At 47.8% G+C, this 27696-nt stretch overlaps 1 protein-coding gene across 14 annotated transcripts in view, besides 9 other annotated features; it reads left to right on the forward strand.

The window, feature by feature from the left end:
* Positions 1-4506: 4506 nt before the first annotated feature.
* Positions 4507-27696, forward strand: part of THRAP3 (thyroid hormone receptor associated protein 3) — a 97721-nt gene continuing 74531 nt past the window's right edge. For 5 of the 14 annotated variants that reach the window (XR_007065301.1, NM_005119.4, NM_001321473.2 and 2 more), the window contains exon 1: positions 21313-21375. The gene's annotated coding sequence lies outside the window, so the exon portion shown is untranslated. Of the gene's footprint in view, positions 5016-21312; positions 21376-21840; positions 21973-22281; positions 22334-27696 lie in introns of those variants that run through there. The other 9 variants (XR_007065302.1, XM_047436212.1, XM_047436243.1 and 6 more) reach the window with 4 other exon arrangements.
* Positions 11960-12080: a silencer, noted in NCBI's record as "fragment chr1:36680691-36680811 (GRCh37/hg19 assembly coordinates)". NCBI's record gives its function as "represses an EF-1alpha promoter that drives an FKBP-Casp9 reporter gene in an ReSE screen in K562 erythroleukemia cells {active_cell/tissue: K562}" and the evidence as "EXISTENCE:reporter gene assay evidence [ECO:0000049][PMID:32094911]".
* Positions 20110-20279: an enhancer, noted in NCBI's record as "active region_747". NCBI's record gives its function as "activates an Ori minimal core promoter by ATAC-STARR-seq in GM12878 lymphoblastoid cells {active_cell/tissue: GM12878}" and the evidence as "EXISTENCE:reporter gene assay evidence [ECO:0000049][PMID:35858748]".
* Positions 20490-20789: an enhancer, noted in NCBI's record as "active region_748". NCBI's record gives its function as "activates an Ori minimal core promoter by ATAC-STARR-seq in GM12878 lymphoblastoid cells {active_cell/tissue: GM12878}" and the evidence as "EXISTENCE:reporter gene assay evidence [ECO:0000049][PMID:35858748]".
* Positions 20490-21230: a biological region, named in NCBI's record as "H3K27ac hESC enhancer GRCh37_chr1:36689434-36689961".
* Positions 20703-21230: an enhancer, noted in NCBI's record as "H3K27ac hESC enhancer chr1:36689434-36689961 (GRCh37/hg19 assembly coordinates)". NCBI's record gives its function as "activates a minimal SCP1, AML or CMV promoter by ChIP-STARR-seq in naive H9 embryonic stem cells {active_cell/tissue: H9 hESC(naive)}" and the evidence as "EXISTENCE:reporter gene assay evidence [ECO:0000049][PMID:30033119]".
* Positions 20940-21059: a silencer, noted in NCBI's record as "silent region_658". NCBI's record gives its function as "represses an Ori minimal core promoter by ATAC-STARR-seq in GM12878 lymphoblastoid cells {active_cell/tissue: GM12878}" and the evidence as "EXISTENCE:reporter gene assay evidence [ECO:0000049][PMID:35858748]".
* Positions 21190-21399: an enhancer, noted in NCBI's record as "active region_749". NCBI's record gives its function as "activates an Ori minimal core promoter by ATAC-STARR-seq in GM12878 lymphoblastoid cells {active_cell/tissue: GM12878}" and the evidence as "EXISTENCE:reporter gene assay evidence [ECO:0000049][PMID:35858748]".
* Positions 21190-21759: a biological region, named in NCBI's record as "H3K27ac hESC enhancer GRCh37_chr1:36689962-36690490".
* Positions 21231-21759: an enhancer, noted in NCBI's record as "H3K27ac hESC enhancer chr1:36689962-36690490 (GRCh37/hg19 assembly coordinates)". NCBI's record gives its function as "activates a minimal SCP1, AML or CMV promoter by ChIP-STARR-seq in naive H9 embryonic stem cells {active_cell/tissue: H9 hESC(naive)}" and the evidence as "EXISTENCE:reporter gene assay evidence [ECO:0000049][PMID:30033119]".

The following is a 27696-nucleotide window of genomic DNA, read 5'->3' on the forward strand; positions in this document are numbered from 1 at the left end:
AGGAATGGAATCTTAAAAAAAAAAAAAACAGTGATGGGAACAGGATCTCACTATGTTGCCCAGGCTGGTCTTGAACTCCTCCTGACTGAACCTCCCAAACTGCTGGGATTACAGGTATGAGCCACCATGCCTGGCCAAAAGTCCCTCAACTTTCTGTTTTAAAAATTGCCACCAGACTTTTCTGCAATGTCACCTGAAGGGTTCCTGGTCTCACACAATGCCCACCCCTAAAACACAGCAGCCTAGGCCACCACGTTCTGCCAGGCGAGGTGTGTGGTAGGAAGAGGGCAGGCAGCTCTGGCCTCAGGCACAAAGGGCTGAGTCCTGGGTCCTGGGGACAGGCACTGGCAATTGAATCTGGACACTGAGCACTGGGTCCTAACACAAGAAATCATTTCCTGGCTCAGGGCAGTGATCTCTGGGTCCTAAAAACTAGGACCAGAGCAGAGACCATAGGTCCCTTATCTCTGGGCGGAGGGTGCTGGGCTAAGTGGCAGTCACCCAAGGCAGGGCCAGGGGTAAGGAGATGCCCAGCCCCCAGTTGTTTTGTAACAGCTGCTGGACTGGGCTGGAGGGGAAATTTAAGGAACCAGGGGGTGAGGTAAGGAGGAAGAGGTCAGTGGGCAGGGCAAGGCCACTCGGGCATGCTGGATTGGTCCCAGGCCCTGGAGGGCGAGAGAAAGACAGTGGCTGGATCTCTAGGGCTCTCATTGGCAGACACTGGGGCCCCAGGAACTAGGGCAAGAAGAGTGGTGAGGATAGCAGGGAGTGTGTGCTACCCCCTACCCCCAACCCCCCTCTTTGTACCCTCCCCCCTTTGTCAACCTCCTGGCTCCGCTCCCAGGCCGAGGCAGCTGGAGTGATTAGTGTGGGTGAAGGAGTACAAATGCCAAAGGCTTGTCTCACGTCTCAGAACACAGGGATCCAGCCAGAGTGGATGGCACAACTGAGTGAGAAATGGAGACCGAGAGATAAACAGAAATAAACAGGGACAACACCAAAGAGATAGAGGAGAGAAGCAGGGCGGGAGACAAAAGAAGAGACCAAAGGCCCACACAGAGCAAGGGGGTTGTGGGGAGGGAGGGTTCAGTAGCTACAGGGCAGGCTGACCTTTTCCTGTCTCTTCTCTGACCCCGTCCTGTCTGAGTTCCCCTCCGCTGTGTCCCTATCCCAGGCTTTCTCAACCTCAGCACTGTTGACATTTGGGGCAGGATAATCTTGGATGGTGGGGGTGGGTGGGTGGGTGGGGGGTGTTCTGTGCCCTGTAGGATGTTTAGCAGCCTCCTTGGCCCTTATCCACCACATGCCATTGGCACTCCCCCAACTCCTCTGCTCTTGTGACAATCCAAACTGCCTCCAGATATTGCCGGATGTTTCCTGGGAAGGGATTGCTCCTGACTGAGAACTGTCCCCAGGTAGGTTCATGTTCTTGAGAAGAGGCTACCCCAGGGTGTCTGGCTGGTTCTCCCTTCGGCCCGTGTGCACAGGGCCCCCTGGCTCTAGCATGGCTTAAGTTGCCCTAAGTCAGAAGCCGGGGAAACTAGGAGAGCCACTGAGACTGAAGAGCAGTCTAGGTACAGCAGTAACGAAGTCCCTGCCCTCATGGAGCTTCTGTTCTTATTCCACCCAAAAGGCATCCCAGGTGTGTTTTGGGATGTGCTAGGGGTGTTTCATGAGTGGGTGTGCACTCTCGTCTCTAAGGGAGGAAGAAGAGATGGGCCCCCAAGTATGTCTGGACAAGATACAGGTAACAAATATGCATTTTATTCCATGATGCTTAGATGTAAGAAATGTCCCATTTATCCAGGCATGGTGGCTCACACCTGTAATCCCAGCACTTTGGGAGGCTGAAGCGGGCGGATCACGAGGTCAGGAGATTGAGACCATCCTGGCCAACATGGTGAAACTCCGTCTCTACTAAAAATACCAAGAAATTAGCCAGGCGTGGTGGCGGGCACCTGTAGTCCCAGCTACTCGGGAGGCTGAGGCAGGAGAATGGCATGAACCCGGGAGGCGGTGCTTGCAGTGAGCCGAGATCGCGCCACTGCACTCCAGCCTGGGCAACAGAGCAAGACTCTGTCTCAAAAAAAAAAAAAAGAATTGTCCCATATATTTAATTCTCTAAACCAGATGATCTGCTCCAAAAACCCCCTGCCAGGCTGGCTGGTGAGAAATTCAATCACAGTCATGTTTTGGGAATCTCTACCCAGTGGTGTGCTGGTGAATGTTTACAAATGGTTTGGGGTGCATTAGGGAGGGACTTGATTTGTCACATTTGCCAACTTCCATGATGTAAACACTCCCACCATGGCCAATTTCAAGCTGCCAACATAATGTCAGTGCAGGTGGAGCAGGGAGGAGTGAGCAATGGCACACTGTCACACAGGGTATTCACCCGGCAGATGCCAACAACTTTAAAAGGATTGATAATAGTAAACTGGGCCAGGTGTGGTGGCTCATGCCTGTAATCCCAGCACTGGGAGGCTGAGGTGGGTAGATCATCTGAGGTCAGGAGTTCAAGACCAGCCTGGCCAACATGGCAAAACCCTGTCTCTACTAAGAATACAAAAATTAGCTGGGTGTGGTGGCACAAGCCTGTAATTTCAGCTACTCAGGAGGCTGAGGCTGAAGAATTGCTTGAACCTGGGAGATGGAGGTTGCAGTGAGCCCAGATGGTACCACTGCACTCCATCCTGGGCGACAGAGTAAGACTCTGTCTCAAAAAAAAAAAAAAAAAAATTAGCCAGATGTGGTGGCACATGCCTGTAATCCCACTTACTCGAGAGGCTGAGGCAGAATTGCTTGAACTCGGGAGGCAGAGGTTGCACTGGGCTGAGATGGCACCACTGCACTCCAGCCGGGACAACAGAGCGAGACTCTGTCTCAAAAAAAAAAAAAAAAAAAAAAAGGCCAGGCTTGGTGGCTCATGCCTGTAATCCCAGCACTTTGGGAGGCCGAGGCGGGTGGATCACGAGGTCAAGAGATCGACACCATCTTGGGCAACATAGTGAAACCCTGTCTCTACTGAAAATACAAAAATTAGCTGCGTGTGGTGGTGTGCACCTGTATTCCCAGCTACTCGGGAGGCTGAGGCAGGAGAATCGCTTGAACCCAGGAGGCAGAGGTTGCAGTGAGTTGAGATGGCGCCACTGTACTCCAGCTTGGGAACAGAGCAAGACTCCGTCTCAAAAAAAAGTAAAATGTAGGAAAGTAATTAGGACATGATGCACTTTGAGTGTTAGTGGCCTTGAATATGCTATATTAAATTTTAAGTTTATAATTAATTTTTTTTTTTTTAGGTGGAGTCTTGTTCTGTTTCCCAGGCTGGAGTGCAGTGGTGCTGAGGCAGGAGAATAGGGTCTAGAGGCAGGAAACCTAAGGCTGATTCACACTGACTTCCTAGAGCTAAATCAAATGGAAACACTTCAGCTATGACAGGAAATATCCTTTCCATTTACATAGGGGTACACCAAGTAACCAATGGAAACCTCTAGAGAGTATTGAAACCCCAGAAAATTCTGTAATAGGGCTCTTCAGCCCCTTTGTCAGCCTGCCCCCACACTGTGGAGTGTACTTTCATTTTCAATAAATCTCTTTTTTTGTTGCTTCATCCTTTCCTTGCTTTGTGTGTTTTATCCAATTCTTTGTTCAAGACGCCAAGAACCTAGACACCTCCAACCGGTAACAGTGCGATTTGGGCTCACTGCAATCCCTGCCTCCCAAGTTCAAGTGATTTTCCTGCCACAACTTCCCGAGTAGCTGGGATTACAGGTGTCCGCCACTACGCCCAGCTGATTTTTTTTGTATTTTTAGTAGAGATGGGGTTTCACCATGTTGGCCAGGCTGGTCTCGAACTCCTGACCTCAAGTGATCTGCCCTCAGCCTCCCAAAGTGCTGGGATTACAGGCATGAGCCACTGCACCTGGCCATAATTAAATTTTTTATATTGCCCCCACCCCTTTGAAGCCCTGAGTATAATTCCTGGGGAGTTATCCAGTCTTGAATATTTAGAGAAAGACTCGCTGGTCTTCAGTCAATTCTATCCTTTTGGATCGGTTTGGCTTAGCCATAGAGGCCTGTTGCTGTGACTCCCAAGACCACTTCGTGCTCCCACATCCGTCCCCTCCCCACAAACAGCAACTTTGTGCCTAGCAGAGGTCCTGGGAGATCTGAATGGGAGTGGTGCAAAGTTGCTATTATTCAAGAAAAGACAACAGCAGCATCAAAGACACCCAGACCCATGTTCACTTTCTCTGGCTTGGGAAGACTCATCAAGGCTTCCTGATGGGTCCCGCTTCCGCCCCTCCCAAGCTGGGAGCCTTGTGCTGTGGAGTAACCCAGCATAGTAACCGGCTCCTGGAGCTGGGCCTTGGTAAACAAGAGCCCTGGCTGGGGGATGTCTTTTGGTGCCTGGCAACCTCTGCTTTTGGCCTGGCAATCCCAAAGCCTGTAACAACCGCAGTCCCCACCCCAGGCAGGAAGGAGTAAACACTCGCAGCAAGGAGACCAAAATGCAAATTACAACCTCAAGACGTTTCTCTGCTGCATTGACAGACCAGGCTAGTAGCAACAACCACCTGAGGCTCTGAACTAAACAAAAAGAGGAGTTCAGGCTAGGAAAGGAGACATTCTGGCTAGACTTCAAGAAAGACTGAAGACTTTTTTTATTTTTATTTTTTTGAGACAGAGTCTCACTCTGTCGCCCAGGTTGGAGTGCCGTGGCACGATCTTGGCTCACTGCAACCTCAGCCTCCCGGGTTCAAGCGATTCTCCTGCCTCAGCCTCCTGACTAGCTGGGACTACAGGCACCCACTACTATGCCCGGCTAATTTTTGTAATTTTAATAGAGACTGGGTTTCGCCATGTTGGCCCGGCTAGTCTTGAACTCCGGACCTCAGGTGAGCCACCCGCCTCAGCCTACCAAAGTGCTGGGATTATAGGCATGAGCCACCGCAGCCAGCCAAGAAAGACTTCTTAGCCTACCTGGAAGGAGACTAAACACAGGCACTGTGAGGGTAAGTCGGCTCCCCTCCAGGCTGCCCATGTGAGCACCCAAAGCTGACAGCCTCCCCCACGCTCTCTGAGCTTCCTCTCATAGTTCCCACTGCCTCAGGATGAAGTCCTGTTAATGGCTGAGTGCCTGGACCTTCCCTGTAAGGTAAGAGTTGTCATATGGATGAGAAAACTAAGGCTCAGAGAGGATAAGTCACTTGCCTGAAGGCACACAGCTAAAGCAGTAGTCAAGGGTGGGAATGTGAAGTCAGATCTGGCATCAAAATCTGTGTGCTTTTCCGGCTGTTTGACCTCACCTCTCATCTCCATCTCACCCCAATCTACCTTTTGCAGCCTCCCCCACCACTATCTCCATCACCCCTCTGCCCCCCGGTGTAAAGAAGGTGGGGGAAGGAAAGCACGAATTTATTGAGGAACTGCAAAACAACAGAATTATGTTAGTTATTACTGAATAAACCATAGTAATATTCTCTTTTTATTGTGTAGTTTTCTTTTTGGCATGTCCATGTAACCAACATAATAATTTTTTTTGTTTGTTTTAAGATGGAGTCTCGCTCTTTTACCCCAGGCTGGTATGCAGTGGCACGATCTCGCCTCACTGAAACCTCCACCTCCCGATTTCAACCAATTCTCCCGCCTCAGCCTCCTGAATAGCTGGGACTACAGGCATGCACCACCATGCCCAGCTAATTTTTGTACTTTTTGTAGAGACGGGGTTTCGCCATGTTGGCCAGGCTGGTCTTGAACTCCTGAGTGCAAGTGATCTGCCTGCCTTGGCCTCCCAAAATGCTGGGATTACAGACGTGAGCCACCATGTCCAGCCTTTTTTTTTTTTTTTTTTTTTTTTTTTTCAGAGACAGTCTTGCTCTGTTGCCCAGGCTGGAGTGCAGTGATGGAATCGTGGCTCACTGCAGCCTCGAACTCCTGGGCTCAAGTGATCCTCCCACCTCAGCCTCTCAAGTAGCTGGAACTACAGGCACACTGATACCATGCCTGGCTTATTTTAAAATTTTCTGTAGAGATGGGATCTTGCTATATTGCCCAGGCTGGTCTCAAACTCCTGGTCTCAAGTGATCCTCCCACCTTGACCTGCCAAAGCACTGGGATTACTGGAGTGAGCCACTGCATCTGGCCCAACATAATCATATTTTAAAGCTTAGTGTTACTGAACTTTTCCTCTCTAAGCAAGATGAAGAGTTTCTCAACCTTGGCACTACTGCTATTTTGAGCAGGATTATTCTTCGTTGTGAGGGATTTGTCTTGCGCATTGTAGGATGTCTAGCAGCATCCCTGGCCTCAATACCCAGTAGATGTCAGCAGTACTCCCCCATGCTCGGGGTTGTGACAACCACAAATGTCTCCAGACATTGCCAAATATCCTCTGGGGGATAGAATTGTCCCTGGTTGGGAAACACTGAATTAGACCAGATAATAAAGTGCCTGTTTCAACAAAGCAGGTCTTAGGAGTAAATAAAACGTGCCAGCAAGTAGCTTGGAGGAGATAGATCAGTGAGGTCCAGGCTCTTGCTTCTGATGCAAGAGGGGCTGGGGAAGCAGCTTCTAAAATCTGAATCCTAGTCCTCAGCAGGGCCTGGATGGATCCTCTGAGGACTGACCTTTGACTTTCCTGGGAATAACTGGCTTTGCAGGGGCCTACCACTATCCAATTTAATTCTGAGAGGAGTCAGTGATGTTACATTCACTGCCACCCCAAAGGGGACATCCCAACTGCAAAAGGAACTTGCTTGGAGTCAAGCGTGGAAAAAGAGTGGCAACAGTTAGTGGGTGCCACATCCTGCTTTTCCACAGGTGGAGGTAGAGAGGGAAGTGGGAGGGGCTGCAAGTATCTTCTAGAACAGTGCTACTCAAAACAAAGTGTGGTCCATACACTGGTTTTTTTCTGGTCCCCAGTGAATTGAGAGTGTTTAAAAACTTCTTTTTGGCCGGGCGCAGTGGCTCACGCCTGTAATCCCAGCACTTTGGGAGGCCGAGGCGGGAGGATCACAAGGTCAGAAGATCGAGACCATCCTGGCTAACACAGTGAAATCCCGTCTGTACTAAAAACACAAAAAATTAGCTGGGCATGGTGGCAGGCACCTGTAGTCCCAGCTGCTCGGGAGGCTGAGGCAGGAGAATCACTTGAACCCGGGAGGCGGAGCTTGCAGTGAGCGGAGATAGCGCCACTGCACTCCAGCTTGGGCGACAGAGCGAGACTCCATCTCAAAAAAAAAAAAAAAAAGAAAAAAATTATTTTAAAATTATAGGCTGGGCACAGTGGCTCACATCTGTAATCCTAGCACTTTGGGAGGCCGAGGTGGGCAGATTGCCTGAGGTCAGAAGTTCGAGACCAGTCTGGCCAACATGGTGAAACCCTGTCTCTACTAAAAATACAAAACAATTAGCTGGATGTGGTGTCGTGCGCCTGTAATCCCGGCTACTCGGGAGCTGAGGCAGGGAAATTGCTTGAACCAAGGAGGTGGAGGTTGCAGTGAGCCCAGATTGCTCCACTGCACTCTAGCCTGGATGACAGAGCAAGACTCTGTCTCAAAAAAAAAAAAAGTATATATATATATATATATATATATATATATATCATATATATAAAGTGTCAGCTTTGGAAACAAAAAGATGGGAGCCTTTGGCAGTGGTTCCCAAATTTATCTGTGCACTGGAATCACCTGAATCAACTTCAAAAAAATAGTGATGCCTGTGATCCATCCAGAGACTGTGATTTGCTTAGTTTGAGATGTGGTCTAAGTGTTGGAATTTTAAAAACATCTTGAGATGGGCCAGGTGTGGTGGTTCATGATGTAATCCTGGCACTCTGGGGGGCCGAGGAGGGAGGATTGCTTGAGCCCAGGAGTTTGAAACCAGCCTGGGCAACAAAGTGAGACCCTCTCTCCACATAAAAAAAAATTAAAAACCCGGGCATAGTGGTACGCTCCTGTAATCCCAACACATTGGGAGGCCAAAGCAGGAGGATCACTTGAGCCCAGGATTGAGCCCAGGGGTTCGAGACCAGCCTGGAAAGCATAGAGAGACTCTGTCACTATTAAAAAAAAAAAAAATTAACTGTGCCTGGTGGCACGCGCCTGTGTTCCCAGCTACTAGGCAGGCTGAGGTGGGAAGATTGCTTGAACCTAAGAGGTCAAGGCTGCAGTCAGTTGTGATCACACCACTGTACTCCAGCCTGGGAGACAGAGTGAGTCCAGGTCTCAAAAAGAAAAAAAAAAAAAATCAAAAAATTAGCAGAGCTTTGTGGTGCATGCCTGTAGTCCCAGCTACTTGGGAGGCTAAGGTGGGAGGATCACTTGGGCCCAGGAAGTGGCGGCTGCAGTGAGCCATATTCGTACCACTTCATTAAAGCTGGGGCAACAGAGCCAGACCCTGTCTCAAAACAAACAACAAAAAAGCAAACATCCTGAGATTACTCCAATATCAAAACAAGCTTAGTAACCGCTAGACTAGGGTATTCCTGAGGGTGGATACCCACTGACTGGTGAGGGAGTAACCATTTTCTGCTCAAGCTCAGCAATGAGGGGCTGCTTCTTGCCAATGATCAGTAGCAAACAAGCCACTGTTCCCCTGACTAGAGTGTTTGGTTTGCTTCTGGAAAGCAGAGATGGAGGTGACGCCCCCTTGGTCAGTCTGAGCAATGGCAAAGTTAACTGCTCCTCTCTTCCATAGGTGGCCCTTCAAGCATAGAGGGTCAGACAATGCTGCCGGTTCCAGTCTCTACTGATTTCCCTTTCCAGCTTCCTTTCTGTCCTGAGAGCCTCTTGTACACAAGAGATAGCTCTAACAACTCCTCTCTTAGTCATGACTTCAGTGTAGAAGAAATCCAACCCCAACCAACTCATTTATTGGCTCATGGCATGGAAAAGTCCATAGGTGCTGCTAATGTCAGGCGTGGCTGAATCCAAGAGCTTAACTGGTATAGCTGGGATTATGTGTTTCTCAACTCATGCTCTGCTCTCCAGCTGTGTTGGCTTAATTCTCAGGATGGCTGCCTCTAAATGGTGGCAGAGATGACCATTAACAAGTCCAGGTTGGTGCTTTTCCAGTTTAGCAATGCCAGGAGAAAGAGAGGGCCCTTTCCTCAGTGGTTCAGCCACGGTCTCAGGCTAATGCTCATTCCATCTGCTATCCCAGTTTAAGCCACCTGCCAATCACTGGGGGCCAAGGAAATGAAATGTACTTATCAGCCAGTCACCTGCTCACCTTGAAGTGAGAGTAGGGGAGGGATAGCTTTTCTTTTTTTCTTTTCTTTCTTTCTTTTTTTTTTTTTTTTTTTTGAGACTGAGTCTTGCTCTTTCGGCCAGGCTGAAGTGCAGTGGCGCGATCTCGGCTCAATGCAACCTCCACCTCCTGCGTTCGAGCGATTCTCCTGCCTCAGCCTCCCGAGTAGCTGGGATTACAGGTGCGTGCCACCATGCTCGGCCAGTTTTTGTATTTTTAGTAGATATGGGGTTCACCATGTTGGCCACACTGGTCTCGAATTCCTGGCCTCAAGTGATCCACCAACCTTGGCCTCCCAAAGTGCTGGGATTACAAGCATGTGCCACCACACCCAGCAGGGACAACTTTACAATGGATTATCAGAGTGCTGCTACCAGAAGAAGAGGAGTGGAAGGTGCTGAACTGGCAGAGCAACAGATGCCACTCTGCTCCTAGGTCAGCAGAGGGATACCATGTGCAGAAATTACAACAATGCAAGGCAGAGTCTGACAAACGCAGTTGGTGTTGGAGTACTCCTAAAAGAAGCAGATTCTGAACTGATGAGATAGGCCTTTGATAGGTGGGGCTGCTGGGGAGGAAGGGCATGAGCAGGAATGAGGAAGCAGGAAGTCCAGAGTATGGTCAAGGCAAGAACACATGACTGGAACACTGTGTATGAAGAAGCTAAGGCTGGTACGACATGGAGGCCAGATGCTAGAGGTTTAGAGCTTGTCTTTCATTCTGATGGCAATGGAGGGCCTTGGAAGGTGATGGTGAAGCTGGTGAGATCATCAGAGGTTATACCATGCAGGGCCTTGTAGATTACACTGAGGGTTTAGGGTTTGATCCTGAGGGCACTGGAGACAGGGGTTGATAGGATCAGAGTTGTACTTGAGGAACAACCCTCTGACTACCTTTTGTAGGATGCCTCTCTGCTTGGATGGAGAGAGAGGCCTGGGAGATCTTATCATAGCCAACACTTCATATTCCTAACTTTGGCCCAGGCACTGTTCTAAGACATGTTCTGTTCTTTGAGACATGTAAAGGCCTAAAACAGGATGGTAGAAGATTCAGTAGATGTTCTGGGGGCAGAATACAGTGGATGTTGTGACTGATGTAATATGGCAGATAAGATAGAAGGAGGAAGCCAAGATTCCTCTGAGATTTTGAAGCTGGGTGATCAGAAAGACAGAAGAACTCCTGGCCGGGCGCTGTGGCTCACGTCTGTAATCCCAGCACTTTGGGAGGCTGAGGCAGGTGGATCGCCTGAGGTCAGGAGTTCGAGACCAGTCTGGCCAACATAGTGAAACCCCGTCTCTACTAAAAATACAAAAAATTAGCCGGGCATGGTGGCGTGCGCCTGTAATCCCAGCTGCTCAGGAGGCTGAGGCAGGAGAATCGCTTGAACCCAGAAGGTGGAAGTTGCAGTGAGCTGAGATTGCCCCATTGCACTCCAGCCTGGGCAACAAGAGCCAAACTCTGTGAAAGAAAAGAAAGAAAGAAAAAGAAAGAAGGAAAGGAAAGAAGGAAAGAAAGAAAGAAGGAAAGAGAAAGAAAGAAAGAAAGAAAGAAAGAAAGAAAGAAAGAAAGAAAGAAAGAAGGAAAGAGAAAGAAAGAAAGAAAGAAAGAAAGAAAGGAAAGAAAGAAAGAAAGAAAGAAAGAAAGAAAGAAAGAAAGAAAGAAAGAAAGAAAGAAAGAAAGAAAGACAACTCCTAACAGAAACAGGAAAAAACTAAGGAAAGTCCATACATGACACACCTACTGCTGTCAATTCCGTGCTTAGCCAACTGCTGGGTTCTAGGAAGACAAAGAACAAACTAGTTGTTGCCTTTCAGGAGTTGGCTCTCCGTAGGTGGCACAGATGGGTGATTTCAACACATTGTGATGAGTGTGGTGAGACCTGTATAAGCAGCATGGGCTAGGGAGGTAGTACCTAGCTGCTCAAGCCAGAAACCTGGGGGTCGACTTTGACTCCTGCCCTTTCTCAGCCAGCCAGTCACCAAGACCAGTAGATATGATCTCCTAAATGTCCTCTGTTTTTTGAATCTTCCCACTTTTCTTCATCCCCACTGAGAATACACTAGACCATGCCATTGTCTCGTCTCATCTGGAATACTGTGATATAACTTCCTCACTGGTCTCCCCACTTTCACTCTGGTTTGCCCTAATCCGTTCTCACACTGTACCATAGTAATCCTTTAAAAAAGGAAATGTGGGCCAGGCTCATTGGCTTATGCCTGTAATCCCAGCACTCTGGAAGGCCGAGGTGGGTGGATCACCTGAGGTCAAGAGTTCAAGACCAGACTGACCAACATGGTGAACTCCATCCTACTAAAAATGCAAAAAAATTAGCCGAGCATGGTGGCACATGCCTGTAACCCCAGCTACTCAGGAGACTGAGGCAGGAGAATCGCTTGAACCCGGGAGGTGGAGATTGCAATGAGCCGAGATCACGCCATTGCACTCCAGCCTGGGCAACAAAGCAAAACTCTGTCTCAAAAAAAAAATAAATAAATAAAATAAAAATAAAAAAGGAAATGAGAATCACGTCCCTCCCCTGCTTATAAACCTTTCAATGGCCTGGGCGCGGTGGCTCACGCCTGTAATCCCAGCACTTTGGGAGGCCGAGGCGGGCGGATTATGAGGTCATGAGATAGAGACCATCCTGGCTAACACGATGAAACCCCGTCTCTACTAAGAATACAAAAAAAAATTAGCCGAGCATGGTGGCGGGCGCCTGTAGTCCCAGCTACTTGGGAGGCTGAGGCAGGAGAATGGCATGAACCCGAGAGGTGGGGCTTGCAGTGAGCCGAGACTGCGCCACTGCACTCCAGCCTGGGCGACAGAGCGAGACTCAAAAAAAAACAAAAACAAAACAAAAAAAACCTTTTAATGGTTTCCCATTGGTCTCAATAAAATCCAATCTCCTCAATCTGGACTGTCAGACCCAGTGGGATCCGGCTCCTTAGGACCTCATTGACATTATTGTGCTTCTCCTCCTATTACACTCCAGAGTCAATGGCAGACCTAACAACATTTAGGATGTGCCACGTTCCTTCAGGCCACAGCGCTTTTCCCTGTGTTTTTCCTTCTGTCTGGAATGCTCTTCCCCAATTCTTGGCCTGGCTAACTATATCGTTTATGGGTCATTCCCTTAAGGAAGCATCTCCTAAACTTCTAGCCTAGAACAGGACCTCCGGATTCTATACCAAGTCAGCAAGCCTTTTCTTAAGGGGTAAATCGTACATGTTGTAGGCTTTGCAGACCACAGTCTCTGTTGCAACCACTCTACTCTGCAGTCAGAGCAGCCATAGGCAATAACATGAATGCATTTATGGATGCTGAACTTTGAATTTCATATACTTTTTGCATGTCACAAAAAGAATATTTTCTTTTTTTTTTTTTGAGACAGAGTTTTGCTCTTGTTGACCAGGCTGGAGTGCAACGGCACGATCTCAGCTCAACGCAACCTCTGCCTCCCGGGTTCAAGTGATTCTCCTGTCTCAGCCTCCTGAGTAGCTGGGATTACAGGTGTGTGCCATCACGCCCGGCTAATTTTGTATTTTTAGTAGAGACGGGGTTTCTCCATGTTGGTCAGACTGGTCTCAAACTCCCGACCTCAGGTGATCCACCCGCCTCAGCCTCACAAAGTGCTGGGATTACAGGCATAAGCCACAGCGCCCAGCCAATAAAATTTTCTTTCTTTTTTCCCAACCATTAAAAAATGTAAAAATAGGCTGGGCACAGTGGCTCACATCTGAAATCCTAGCACTTTGGAAGGCCTAAGCAGGAGGATTGCTTTAGCCCAGGAGTTTGAGACCAGCCTGGGCAATACAGTGAGACCGTGTCTCTACAAAAAATTAAAAAGAAAAAAACAGCTGGGCGCTGTAGCTCACGCCTGTAATCCCAACATTTTGAAAGGCTGAGGTGGGTGGCTCACCTGAGGTCAAGAGTTCAAGACCAGACTGGCCAACATGGTGAAACCCCGTCTGTACTAAAAATACAAAAATTAGCTGTGTTTGGTGGCGTGTAATCCCAGCTACTCGGGAGGCAGAGGCAGGAGAATCGCTTGAACTGGGATACGGAGATCGCGCACTGCACTCCAGCCTGGGTGAAAGAGTGAGACTCCGTCTCAAAAAAAAAAAAAAAAAAAAAAAATGCCGGGTGTGGTGGCTCACACCTATAATCCTAGTACTTTGGGAGGCCGAGGCGGGTGGATTACAAGGTCAGGAGTTCAAGACCAGCCTGGCCAAAAACAACAACAACAACAAAAAAATAGCTGAGCATGGTGGTGCATGCCTGTGGTCCCAGCTACTTGGGGGCTAAGGTGGGAGGATTGCTTGAGCCCAGGAGGCTGCAGTGAGCTGTGATCACGCCACTGCACTCCAGTCTGTGGGACAGAGCCAGACTCTGTCTCAAAAACAAATAAGTAAATAAAAATGTAAAAATAATCCTAGTTTCTGCCCATACGAAAACAGGAGATGGGCCAGAATTGGCCCACAGGTTGTAGTTTGCTGACCTCTGTTCTGTGCTATCATAGCATATACCATATACTCTTCCTGCATTGCACTCATCCATTAGTAATTAATTATGCATGTGATAGACTTCTTAATGCTACCTCCCCAGTTGGAGGTAAGCTCTGTGAGGGAAGGGACCACATCTGTTTTGTTTACTCTTTTTTTTCCTGATCATCATAGTACAGGGCCTGACCCATGGTATGTGCCCACCAAATGAATGAAGTGATACAGTTTTCTCTGCTTTGAGAGGAACTCAAAGCCTCATGGAGAATGCAGACATACAAACAATTAACTACACACTTAACTAGGTAATGCTGTACTGGAGGGAAGAAGAGTTCGGTTTCTGGCAGGGTGGATTTGAGATACCAGTGGGAAATCAGGGTATGGTGGCTCCTATATATCTGGAACTAAGTGAGTTGACTCTAAGATGTAGATAAGGGAATAAGATGCTTAAAAGAGATGTAAAGCTACCTGAGTATGCCAGGTCACTCAAGGAGAGAGGTCACTCAGGGAGAGAGGCTGAATGAGGAGAGGAGAGGGCAGAGACTGGAACCTTGGGGTAAGTTTCTGGGCCAGGGAAGGGGCAGCGGTTGGTAGAAAGGTTGGAAGAGATCCAAGATAGATCTTGTTTTACTGTGCTTTGTAGATATGGCATTTTTTTTTTTTATAAACTGCGAGTTTGTGGCAACCCTGTGTCAAGCAAGTCTATTGACACAATTTTTCCAAAGGCATGTGCTCACTTTGTGTCCCTGTCACATTTTGGTAATTCTTGCAATATTTCAAACTTTTTCATTATTATTATATCTGTTATGGTGATCAGTGATATTCCTATCAATTAACATCAGTTATGTTACTATTGTAATTGTTTGGCAGTGCCACATACTGCACCCATATAAGTGGTAAACTTAGTAAGTGTTGTGTGTGTACTGACTGCTCCACCAACTGGCCATTCCCTGTTTCTCTCCTTCTCCTCCAGTCTCCCTGTTCCCTGAGACACAACAACATTGACATTAGGCCAATTAATAACCCTACAAAACGCTACAATGGCCTCTAACTGTTCATGTCTCTCACTTTAAATCAAAAGCTAGAAATGATTAAGCTTAATGAGGAAGGGATGTCAAAAGCCTAGACAGGCAGAAAGCTAGGCCTGTTGTGTCAATTAGCCAAGTTGTGAACGCAGAGAAAAAGTTCTTGAAGGAAATTAGGCCAGGCACAGTGGCTCACGCCTGTAATCCCAGCACTCTGGGAGGCCGAAGTGGGTGGATCACTTGAGGTCAGGAGTTCGAGACCAGCCTGGCCAACATGGTGAAACCCTGTCTCTGCTAAAAAAAAATATATAAATTAGCCAGGCGTGGTGGCAGGCACCTGTAGTCCCAGCTACTCGGGAGGCTGAGGCAGGAGAATCGCTTGAAATCAGGAGGCAGAGCCTGCAGTGAGCAGAGATTGCATCACGCAGTGAGCAGAGATTGCATCACTCAGTGAGCAGAGATCACATCACTGCACTCCAGCCTGGGCAACACAGCCAGACTCTGTCTCAAAAAAAAAAAAAAAAAAAAAGCCAGGCGCAGTTGCTCACGCCTGTAATCCCAGCACTTTGGGAGGCCGAGGTGGGTGGATCACAAGGTCAGGGGATCGAGACCATCCTGGCTAACACAGTGAAACCCTGTCTCTACTAAAAAATACAAAAGAAAAAATTAGCCAGGCGTGGTGGCAGGCACCTGTAGTCCTAGCTACTCGGGAGGCTGAGGCAGGAGAATGGCATGAACCCGGGAGGCAGAGCTTGCAGTGAGCCGAGATTGTGCCACTGCACTCCAGCCTGGGCGACAGAGCCAGACTCTGTTTCAAAAAAAAAGGAAATTAAAAGTGCAACTCCAGGCCAGGCGTGGTGGCTCACGTCTGTAATCCCAGCATTTCGGGAGGCAGGGGCAGGTGGATCACGAGGTCAGGAGTTCGAGACCAGCCTGGCCAAGATGGTGAAACCCTGTCTCTACTAAAAATACTAAAACTAGCCAAGTGCAGTGGCGGGCGCCTGCAATCCCAGCTACTTGGGAGGCTGAAGCAGAATAATTGCTTGAACCCAGGAGGTGGAGGTGGCAGTGAGCTGAGATCACGCCACTGCACTCTAGCCTAGGCAACAGAGCAAGGCTCCATCTCAAAAAAAAAAAAAAAAAAAAAAAGTGCAACTCCAGGGAATAAATGAATTTGATAAGAAGGCAAAACAGCCTTATTGCTGATACAGAGAGAGTTTTAGTGACCTACAAAGAAGATCAGATCAGTCACAGCATTCCCATAAACAAAAGCCTAATCTAGAACAAGGCTCCAACTCTTGTCAATTCTGTGAAGATTGAAAGAATTGAGGAAGCTGCAGAAAAAAGTTTCAAGCTACCAGAGTTTGGTTCGTGAGGTTTAAGGAAAGATGCCATCACCGTTACATAAAAGTACTAGGTGAAACAGCAAGTGCTGATGTAGAAACTGAATCAAATTTTGCAGGAGATCTAGCTAAAATAATTGATGAAGGTGGCTAAACTAAACAACAAATTTTCTCTTTTTTATTTTTATTTTTTTAGATGGGATCTCACTCTGTTGCCTAGACTGGAGTGCAGTGGAGCAATCTCGGCTCACTGTAACCTCTGCCTCCTGGGTTCAAGCGATTCTCCTGCCTCAGCCTCTCAAGAGGTTGGGATTACAGTCACCCGCCACCATGCCCAGCTAACTTTTTTTTTTTTTTTAAAGTAGAGACGGGGTTTCACCACATTGGAGAGGTTGGTCTCGAACTCCTGACCTTTGGTGATCTGCCTGCCTCGGCCTCCCAAAGTGCTGGGATTACAGGCGTGAGCCTCCGTGCCCGGCCCCTGACAGATTGTCAATGTAGATGAAATAGCCTTCCACTGGAAGCAGATGGCATCTAGGACTTTCATAGCTAGAGAGCAGAAGTCAATGCCTGGCTTCAAGGCTTCAAAAGACAGACTGATTCTCTTTTTTCAGGCTAATGCAGCTGGTGATTTTAAGTTGAAGGCGATGCTCATTTACCATTCTGAAAATCCTAAGGCCCTTAAGAATTACGCTAAATCTAATCTGCCTATGCTCTACAAATGGAACAACAAAGCCTGGATGACAGAACTTTTTTCTTTTTTGGGATGGAGTCCCACTCTGTCACCCAGGCTGGAGTGCAATGGCGTGACCTTGGCTCACTGCAACCTTCACCTCTGGGTTTAAGTGATTCTCCTGCCTCAGCCTCCTGAGCAGCTGGGATTACAGATGCACACCACCACGCCCAGCTATTTTTTGTATTTTTGTACAGATGGGGTTTCACTGTGTTGGCCAGGCTGGTGTCAAAGTCCTGACCTCAAGTGATCTACCCATCTCGGCCTGCCAAAATGTTGGGATTACAGGTGTGAGCCACTGTGCCCAGCCCTAATGTTGTTTTTATGCCTGCTAACATGATGTCCGTTCTATAGCCCATGGATAAAAGAGTAATTTTGACTTTCAAGTCTTATTTAAGAAATACATTTTGTGGCCAGGTGTGGTGGCTCATACCCATAATCCCAGCACTTTGGGAGGCTGAGGTGGACTGATTACTTGAGGTCAGGAGTTCGAGACCAGCCTGGTCAAAAAATGGTTTACGATACAATCAACTCTTGTTGTAAATGTTGTGAAGGCTGGGTGCAGTGGCTCATATCTGTAAATGAATGACAAGAATGAATAAATGAACCCAGCACTTTAGAAACCCAGTGCAGGAAAATCACTTGAGCCCAGGAGTTTGAGACCAGAATGGGCAATATACTGAGACCTCGGCTGGGCACAGTGGCTCACGCCTGTAATCCCAGCACTTTGGGAGGCTGAGGCGGGTGGATCACCTGAGGTGAGGAGTTCGGAACCAGCCTGACTAACATGGCGAAAACCTGTCTCTACTAAAAACACAAAAAATTATCTGGGTGAGGTGGCGGGTACCTGTAATCTCAGCTACTCGGGAGACTGAGACAGGAGGATCGCTTGAACCCGGGGGCGCAGAGACTGCAGTGAGCAGAGATCGCACTACTGCACTCCAGCCCAGGCAACAGAGTGAGACTGTCTCAAAAAAAAAAAAAAAAAAAATATATATATATATATATATATATATAGTGAGACCTCATCTCTACAAAATAATTTTTACAATTTTAGCTCAGCATGGTGGTATGCACTTGTAGTCCCAGCTACTTGGGAGGCTGAGGCGAGAGGATCCTTTGAGCCTGGGAGATGGCGGTTGCAGTGTGCACATATTGTGGGCCACTGCACTGCAATCTGGGTGACAGAGTGAGACCCTATCTCAAAAAAAAAAAAAAAAAAAAGCTGCGAACATTGTTGAAGTGACAACACAGGATTTAGAATATTATGTAAAGTTGGTTGATAAGACACCAGCAGTATGTGAGATGAGTGAGTCCAATTTTGAAAGAAGTTCTGCTGTTAAAATGCTATCAGAGCACTGCACGCTACAGAGAAATCTTTCATGAAAGAAATAGTCAACTTTTCATTTTCTCAGTGGATGAAAAGGGAAAAAAAAAAGAAAGGAAGAGTAAATGGATGGGGCAAACTTCATTGCTCTCTTATTATCAGAAACTGCCACATCCACCCCAACCTTCAGCAGCTATCACCCTAGTCAGTCAACAGCCATCAGCATAAAAGCAAGACCCTCCACCAGCAAAAAGTGACCACTTGCTGAAGGCTCAGATGACAGCATTTTTATTGAGACAGTTTTGCTCTTGTTGCCCAGGCTGGAGTGCAATGGCGCGATCTAAGCTCACTGCAACCTCCGCCTCTTGGGTTCAAGCGATTCTCGTGCCTCAACATCCCGAGTAGCTGGGATTACAGGCATGTGCCACCACGCCCAGCTAATTCTTTTGTATTTTTAGTAGCGACGGAGTTTCACCGTGTTGGTCAGGCTGGTCTTGAACTTTTTTTTTTTTTTTTTGAGACGGAGTTTTGCTCTTGTTACTCAGGCTGGAGTGCAGTGGCACGATCTCGGCTCACCGCAACCTCTGCCTTCTGGGTTCAAGCGATTCTCCTGCCTCAGCTTTCTGAATAGCTGGGATTACAGGTGCCCGCCAGCATGCCCAGCTAATTTTTTGTATTTTTAGTAGAGACCAGGGTTTCATCATGTTGGCCAGGCTGGTCTTGAACTCCTGACCTCAGGTGATTCACCAGCCTCGCCCTCCCCAAGTGCAGGGATTACAGGCGTGAGCCACTGCGCCTGGCCTTGGTCTCAAACTTCTGACCTCAGGTTATCCACCCGCCTTGGCCTCCCAGTGTTGGGATTACAGGTGTGAGCCACCACGCCAGGCTGACAGCATTTTTAAGTAATATTCTTTATTAAAGTATATATATTTTAGGTCATAACACTAGTGCACACAATAGACTACAGTATGATGTAAACATACTATATAACTTTAATATGCACTGGGAAACTTGGACTAACCTTACTGCAATCTTTGCTTTATTGTGGTGTTCTGGAACTGAACCTGCAATATTTGAGATATGCCTGTATTTCTTTTTTTCTTTTCTTTTTTTTTGAGACGGAGTCTTGCTCTGTCGCCCAGGCTGGAGTGCAGTGGCATGATCTCGGCTCACTGCAACCTCCACCTCCTGGGTTCAAGCGATTCTCCTGTCTCAGCCTCCTGAGTAGCTGGGATTACAGGTGCCCACCACCACGCCCGGCTAATCTGTAGTATTTTTAGTAGAGAACGGGTTTCGCCATGTTGGCTGGGCTGATCACGAACTCCTGACCTCAGGTGAGCTGCCCGCCTCGGTTCTCCCAAAGCGTTGGGATTACCGGCGTGAGCCACCGCGCCCGGCCTATGCCTGTATTTCTTAAAAGGGGAGCCAAAATTATGTATTTTGGTATCCATCTAGTTTACTACCGTGTTCCCAGTATTTTACACTGGGCATTGTATACAGTAGACACCCAGAAAATCTTTGAATTTAAAATTACATTGGTTCAGCCCCGTGGCTCACGCCTGTAATCCCAGCACTTTGGAAGGCCGAGGCAGGTGGATCACTTGAGGTCAGGAGTCTGATACCAGCTTGGCCAACGTGGCGAAACCCCGTCTCCACAAAAAGTAGAAAAATTAGCCGGGTGGTGGCATATGCCCGTAAAATCAGCTACTCAGGAGGCTTAGGCAGGAGAATCGCTTGAACCTGGGAGGCAGATGTTGCAGTGACCCAAAATCGCACCACTGCCCTCCAGCCTGGGCGACATAGGGAGAATCTCAATAAATAAATAAATAAATAAATAAAAATAAAATCAATTAAATTAGAACGTTTTAAGAAGCACTGCGCAGTACGTCGACCACAAGAAGTGCTCAAAGAAGGAAGAAAGAGTAAGCCGTGTGCAAGGAATGCTGCCGAAGCCACTAAGGGCAAGGGCTGATGTGGCGTGGTCTGCTACTTGAGTTGAGCCTTGCAGCTTTTCTCTTAGGAAGAGCATTAGATTTCTTTATTAATTGATGTGTACTGTGTCTACTTTTCTCTGGAGGTGCAGAAATCCATCAAAACTGATCTCGGCTCTCAAAGAGCTCACAGTCTTGTCGGGGAAGGCCCCGATACTTACAGAGTAAGATGCAAACTTACTGTGGGAACACAGGCATAGGGAGGAGCTAGTCAACTTTGAAAGCATCACAGATGACCTATGAGATGGGTCTTAAATGTTCAGAGACACTAGAGCAGAAATTCCGGAGGAAACCAGCCTGTGCAAAACTGATAAACGCAGAGATTCTCAAATTTGTAGGTGGGTAAGAATCACCCGAGAGATCGGTTTAAAATGTAGACTGCAGGGAGACACTCCCCGGTAAACTTTTGGTTCAATACCCCAGTAGCACCCATTTTAACAAACTTCCCAGGACGACAGTCAGAAAATCATAGTTACAGAAGGCAGGCTGGGGAGAGGCGGTTTCTGGGTCTCCGAATGAGGTCACACAATTAAAATTAAAAAAACGAAACCAAACCAACCCCTCCATTTGCGTTGCGCTTTCAGGGTGCTTGAGGCTTTCCTGTGCCTTACTTTGTCGGAGCCTGGCAACATCGCTGTGGGGTAGAAATTACAAGTCTCATTTCACAGGGGAGGAAACAAGTTTAGAGAGGAGGGATGAATTTGCTCAAGGTCACAAAGCGGAAGGGAGCGCAGCAGAGACCAAAAACAGGGAGACTCGACTTCCAACTCGGAAGCTTTTCAACAAGGCAAGCTGGCCCGGAGTGGGTGGGGCTCAGACTCTCCCTCCAGGCTGGTTCCAAAATGGTGGGGGCAGTGGCGTCAGCAACGCCCCCGCCCCTTCCGTCCACCGCCCTCCTCCATCTCCAGGCCACCCAGGCGGGGGGAGGGGACGGCCCCGAGCAACCCACGTGACCGCCGACAACCGAGCGCGTGACGCAAAGCGGCGGGCCCAACGCTCGCCTTGTCTTTTGGGAAACGTAGTTCTGATGGCAGCCAAGTCGGCCAGGAGAGGAGGGCGTAGGACTACATTTCCCAGGAGGCAGCGGGTCTACGCCGTCGCCGTCGTCGGAGAGCGGAGACGCTGGGCGCGCTGTGGGGCGGGGGCGAGGTTCGGGCTGGTTGTTCCGTTGCGAGCTGCAGCTGCGATCTCTGTGGTAGGCCCAGGTGAGTGAGCGCCTCTGATGGAAGTTAGGGCAGCTTAACCGGCTCTAGTGGTTTCGTCTCTTATCTTTTTTCCCCAGCTGCTGGTCAGGGGCTCGGGGAAGGCCTGGCGTGGAGTCGCTCCCCCCAGCTTACACCCTGGCCTCTTCTGAGCGGGCTCCGTTCCCTCCGGCTCCTCCCCTTCCCCGCCCTTTAGGTCTTCCCCTGGCCCCGGCCTAGCTCCCAAGGCTCTTGGTCGCCTTCTCTGCAGAGCAGCTCCTACGCCGCTTTATCTTGCAGTCGGCCTGGGGGCGGCCACTCCCTACTCCTCCCGTTTTGGTCGTATGAACCCCGTTATTTGGATTTCTTTTCCCGGAACTCCCGAGTGCCCTTCCCCCCACCCAGTCCCCATTGGCCTGGTTCGGTCTTCTCCTAGGGCGCATGTGGCTGCCACTCAGTAAATGTTAGTACCGCTTCCGTTCTTTCCAGCCTGGTGGCCAAAAACGGGATAGTCCAAATTTGTCTCCTACGGGAATATTAGAGTTCTCACTTTTTTCTTGGGCTGGAGCTGAGGCCGGCTTGCATTCCAGTGGCAATCGGCGTGAGTTCTGCTTATATGAGGTGAATTATTTTGCTTCTCTTAGCACCTAAGCAACTTTTATCAACTGTTGTCTTTGACTTTACAAATCTTAGGGGTGGAGCATGGCAGCAGAAGCTGGGGAGCAGCAATGGTGCACAGAAGTTGGAAGCCATCAGTGGCAGTACAGTGTTTATGGGGAATTTGTTACTTGGGGTGAAGGGAAAGCCTCTGAGAGTATAGAAGGACCTGGCAAGAGAGAGGCAGTGAAGCTTCTGTTGGGAGCATAACAGAAGTATCCTGAACCAGTTGGCTTGGGTTTAAATCTTGGCCCTGCTATCTTTTGATCTTAGGTCAAGAGTCTTCATCTCCAGCTGCCTCAGTTTTCTTATCACTAAAACAGCAGTAAGTAACAGTGACCCCTTTACAGGGTTATTGTGGAGACTAAATGAGATAAAATAAAAATCACTTAGCCACTGTTAAAAAGTAATATCATCATTTATAGGTTTTTTTTTTAGAGTGTGCGCCGAGAGAGATGAGGCGTGTATCACACCGTTATTTTTCTTCTGTTTCAGATGACCCTGACTTTTTTCGTTTGTGGAAGTACTGTTGTAGTCTGTTCTGTAATTCTAGACAGTCTGACGTGTGTATTATGATTTAGAAGCTTGTTAAATAGCCAAAACCGGCTCCTGCCATGAACAACTTGTGGAGCAAATCGGGCTCAGTTTGTTCTTTGCCGGGAGATGTATTTTGTGAGCCAATGTTCATACGTTAATGATAAGTTTTACTGCAGCCATTTGGGCTTAATTGCATTTTGTAAGAGAGTTGTGTTGAGGTTTCTGTAAGAAGTGATTTGATTAAAAACCTCTATATCCAGTGTAATTCCATCTCTTTGTTTTTTAAACGTTTTAACACCAGAGAAAGATCTCCAATTTTGGAGACTGATGTTTTTAGTTTTGTAGACTAGGTACAGTTCAATTTTAGCAGTGGTGATGGTAGTAGTAGTACCACCTTAGTGTATTTATTTAATACCAAATATATAGGTACTTTTAAATTTGGTTTAGCCTGCAAAATATGGATTACAAAAAGAGTGATCTATTTTGTTCCGAGGAATTGGAGGGAGGAAGCTTGGAATATTTCTGAGATTAGCACAGAGATGGGAAATGTTGATGACTGGGAGGGTACACAGACATACGATTTATTATTATTATTATTTTTTGAGACAAAGTCTCGCGCTGTCACCCAGGCTGGAGTGCAGGGGCACAATCTCGGCTCACTGCAACCTCCGCCTCCTGGGTTCAAGCGATTCTCCTGCTTCTGCCTCCTGAGTAGCTGGGATTACAGGTGTGTGTCACCACGCCTGGCTCATTTTTGTATTTGTAGTAGAGACGGGGTTTCACCATGTTGGCCAGGCTAGTCTTGAACTCCTGACTTCAGGGGATCACCTGCCTCGGCCTCCCAAAGTGCTGGGATTACAGGCGTAAGCCACCGCGCCCGGCCACGATTTATTATTTTTAGAATGGATAGTCCTAACCACTAAGCATTTTAGGGCGCTACCCTGTTTCTGTAGGGCATATTGACATCCTGAATGCAAGGAAGTCTGGTTAATGCTATTCTCTCAAATACAGGGTTTTGGTGGATTTTTTCACACATATTCTATAAACATCTAAGATCTGTTCACTGTTTGACTCTGGTTGATTGGGTAATTTATTCAACAAATACTACTTGAGAGCCTGTCATTTACCAGCTTCTGTTGTGGGCCTGTGAATATATTAGGGTGTGATGACAGATGAGGTCTTGTCTTTTGGAAACTTAACAGGATTGTTGGGGGCGGGGAACACAAAAGGTAAGCAAATAAACTACAAATTGAGAAAAGTAACATAGAGGTGTCCAGTTCAGGACTCTGATAGACACTGAAAAGGGGGAGACCTAAGGGTGGTCAGTGAAGTTCTTTTTGGGGAGAGTGAGGAAACCAATTTGTAGGATGTCAAGGAGAGGGTATCCAGGTAGAGGAAACAGTAAGTGCACAAACTGGAAGATGGGAAGAATTTAGTGTGCTTTCAGAACTGAAGGGAGGCCAATTGTGTTTGACACTTTGGAGAGTGATTACAGATGAGTTGGAGAGAGAAGGTTATTAGGGAAGCCATTGAAGCCTTCTGATGGTAGGAAGGATTGCCGTCTCTCTCTTTAATATGTATAGACACATACATATATAACATTATTTACAACTTTTTTTTTTTTTGAGATGGTGTTTCGCTCTTGTTGCCCAGGCTGGAGTGCAGTGGCGCGATCTTGGCTCACTGCAACCTCCACCTCCCAGTTCAAGCGATTCTCCTGCCTCAGCCTCCCAAGTAGCTGGGATTACAGGGATGTGCCACCACGCCTGGCTAATTTTGTATTTTTAGTAGAGACAGTGTTTCTCCATGTTGGTCAGGCTGGTCTCAAACTCCCACGCTTAGGTGATCCGCCTGCCTCGGCCTCCCAAAAGTGCTGGGATTACAGGCATAAGCTACTGCGCCCAGCCTACAACAGATGGAGGGAGGAAGGAAGGGGTTTCAGGGGTGATTTATGTTTTAAAATCATTTCACAGAAGTATGGAAAATGGATTGTGAGGTATGTTAGTTAAGAGACCGAAGATGGTAGTTACCTGACAGAGCAAGAAAATAGAGATGGAAGAGCAAGAAGCAGAGATTGGAGGGTAAGTAGGTTTAATAGTCTCTGTAGGCTGCAGTGAGCCATGATCATGACACTGCATGCCAGCCTGGGCAACAGAGTGATACCTGGATTCGAAACAAGTAAACATATTCTGCATGGCAGGACACTCTTTTTGTTTTTGAGACGGAATCTCGCTCTGTTGCCCAGGCTGGAGTGTGGTGGTGCGATCTCGGCTCACTGCATCCACCGCCTCCTGGGTTCAAGCGATTCTCCTGCCTCAGCCTCCCAAGTAGCTGGGGTTACAGGCACCCGCCACCACACGTGGCCTCTTTTTTTTTTTTTTTTTTTCTGTTGGTGGAGTCTTCCTCTGTTGCCCAGGCTGGAATGCAGTGGCACTATCTTGGCTCACTGCAACCTCTGTCTTCCAGGTTCAAGCAGTTCTCCCTGCCTTAGCCTCCTGAGTAGCTGGGATTACAGGCGCCTGCCACCATGCCTGGCTAATTTTTGTATTTTTTTTTCTTGAGACAGAGTTTCTCTCTTGTCACCCAGGCTGGAGTGCAATGGCATGGTCTCGGCTCACTGCTACCTCTGCCTCCAGGGTTCAAGCGATTCTCCAGCCTCAGCATCCCAAATAGCTGGAATTATAGGCATCCGCCACTATGTCCAGCTAATTTTTGTATTTTTAGTAGAGACAGACAGGGTTTCACCATGCTGGCCAGGCTGGTCTCAAACTCCTGACCTCAATTGATCCGACCGTTTTGGCCTCCCAAAGTGTCGGGAAAGGTGTGAGCCAGCGCATCTGGCCTAATTTTTGTATTTTTAGTAGAGACGGGGTTTTGCCATGTTGGCCAGGTTGGTCTTGAACTCCTGAACTCAGGTGATCCAACGGGCTCGGCCTTCTAAAGTGCTGGGATTACAGGCGTGAGCCACCACGCACAGCCTGCAGCAGGACATTACATCCTTAATCTATGGCCGGTGGACTCCAGGGAGCCCATGAACTCTGTAAAATATTTTTGAATAGGGGTGCATTTTCTCAAGGAAAATGTGTTCTCCTTCTACCATATTCGTTAGAGTTTCAAAAAAGTTAAGAAACAATGTTCTAGACCATATAATGCAGCTTTATAATCCATAAAAATGTAGGCTGGGCATGGTGGCTCATGCTTATAATCCCAGCACTTTGGGAGGCTAAGGTGGGAGGATCCCTTGACCCCAGGAGTTCAAGGTATTAGTGAGCTATGATTGCGGCACTGCACTCCAGCCTGGGCGACAGAGCCAGACCCTGTCTCTAAGGAAGAAAAAGGTAATTGCTCAAGGCTTACCAAGGCAGTAAGAGACATGGGTACCCTTTCTAAAAGATTGACTTTATTAATTTTTCAAGGGAACTAATTTTTTTTTATTTTTTGAGATGGAGCCTCGCTCTGTTGCCCAGGTTGGAGTGCAATGGTGCGATCTTGGCTTGCTGCAACCTCAGCCTCCCAGGTTCAAGTGATTCTCCTGCCTCAGCTTCCCAGGTAGCTTGGACTACAGGTGCCCGCCACCACACCCGGCTAATTTTTGTATTTTTAGTAGAGACGGGGTTTCACCGTGTTAGCCAAGATGGTCTCCATCTCCTGACCTCGTGATCTGCCCGCCTCAGCCTCCCAAAGTGCTGGGATTATAGCGGTGAGCCACCGTGTCTGGTCTACAGTTTTTTTTTTTGTTTTTTTTTTGTTTTTTTTTTTTTGAGAATAAGTAGTATGTTTTAATGATGTGCTGTAGAAATTTTAGTTTCTTTTTGTCTAGAAGATAGGGGCTGGTTTTGCTCATAGTGAGGAAGCTGAAATTTGGTGAGTCCAATTTGACAAAAATTCATTTTCTAATGTTTTCTTTCTTTGAATTTTGTTTACAGTACATATTTTAAGTGTTCCAGAAATGGAGCTTTTTGTTTGTTTGTTTGTTCGTTTGTTTGTTTGTTTTGAGATGGAGTTTCGCTCTTGTTGCCCAGGCTGGAGTGCAGTGGCGCAATCTCAGCTCACCGCAACCTCTGCCTCCTGGGTTCAAGTGATTCTCCTGCCTCAGCCTCCCGAGAAGCTGGGATTACAGGCATGTACCACCATGCCCAGCTAATTTTGTATTTTTAGTAGAGTTGAGGTTTCTCCATGTTGGTCAGGCTGGTCTCAAACTTCTGACCTCAGGTCATCTGCCTACCTTGGCCTCCCAAAGTGCTGGGATTATAGGCGTGAGCCATCGCGCCCAGCCTTTTTTTTTTTTTTTTTTTTTGAGACAGAGTCTGTCTCTATTGCCTAGGCTGGAGTGCAGTGGTGCCATCTCGGCTCACTGCAACCTCCACCTCCTGGGTTCAAGCGATTGTCCTGCGTCAGCCTCCCGAGTCGCTGGGATTACAGGTGCCCATCACCACACCTGGTTAATTTTTTTTCTTTTTTTTTAGACGGAGTTTTGTTCTTGTCCAGGCTGGAGTGCAATGGCTCGATCTCAGCTGACCGCAACTTCCACCTCCCGGGTTCAAGCGATTCTCCTGCCTCAGCCTCCCGAGTAGCTGGGGTTACAGGCATGGGCCACCATGCCCGGCTAATTTTGTATTTTTAGTAGAGATGGGGTTTCTCCATGTTGGTCAGGCTGGTCTCAAACTCCTGACCTCAGGTGATCCGCCCGCTTCGGCCTCCCAAAGTGCTAGGATTACAGGCATGAGCCACCGCGCCCAGCCCTGGCTAATTTTTTTTGTATTTTTTAGTAGAGATGAGGTTTCGCCAAGTTGGCCAGGTTGGTCTTGAACTCCTGACCTCAGGTGATCCACCTGCCTCGTCCTCCCAAAGTGCTGGGATTACAGGCTGGAGCCACCGCGCCCGGCCTAGAAAAGGAGCATTTTAAGTGTGCTTTCCTTCAGTGATTTATTTTGTCAGATGTATACTCATATCTTTTGTAGTGTATTTTTCAGGTAATAGTGTTTCTTTGGAAGCGTAGGATGTGCTTTCTGCCACAGAGTTGAGTTATACCACTGAAAATACATGTATTTAGGCAGATGTTTTCAACCTCTGCCTAAAAAGTTTTATGGACTAAATCCAATCTGCAGATATATTTTCTTTGGCTCATACAGTGTTGTACATTTGAATTAG

Source organism: Homo sapiens, chromosome 1 (assembly GCF_000001405.40).
Source record: "Homo sapiens chromosome 1, GRCh38.p14 Primary Assembly".
Lineage (NCBI taxonomy): Eukaryota > Metazoa > Chordata > Mammalia > Primates > Hominidae > Homo > Homo sapiens.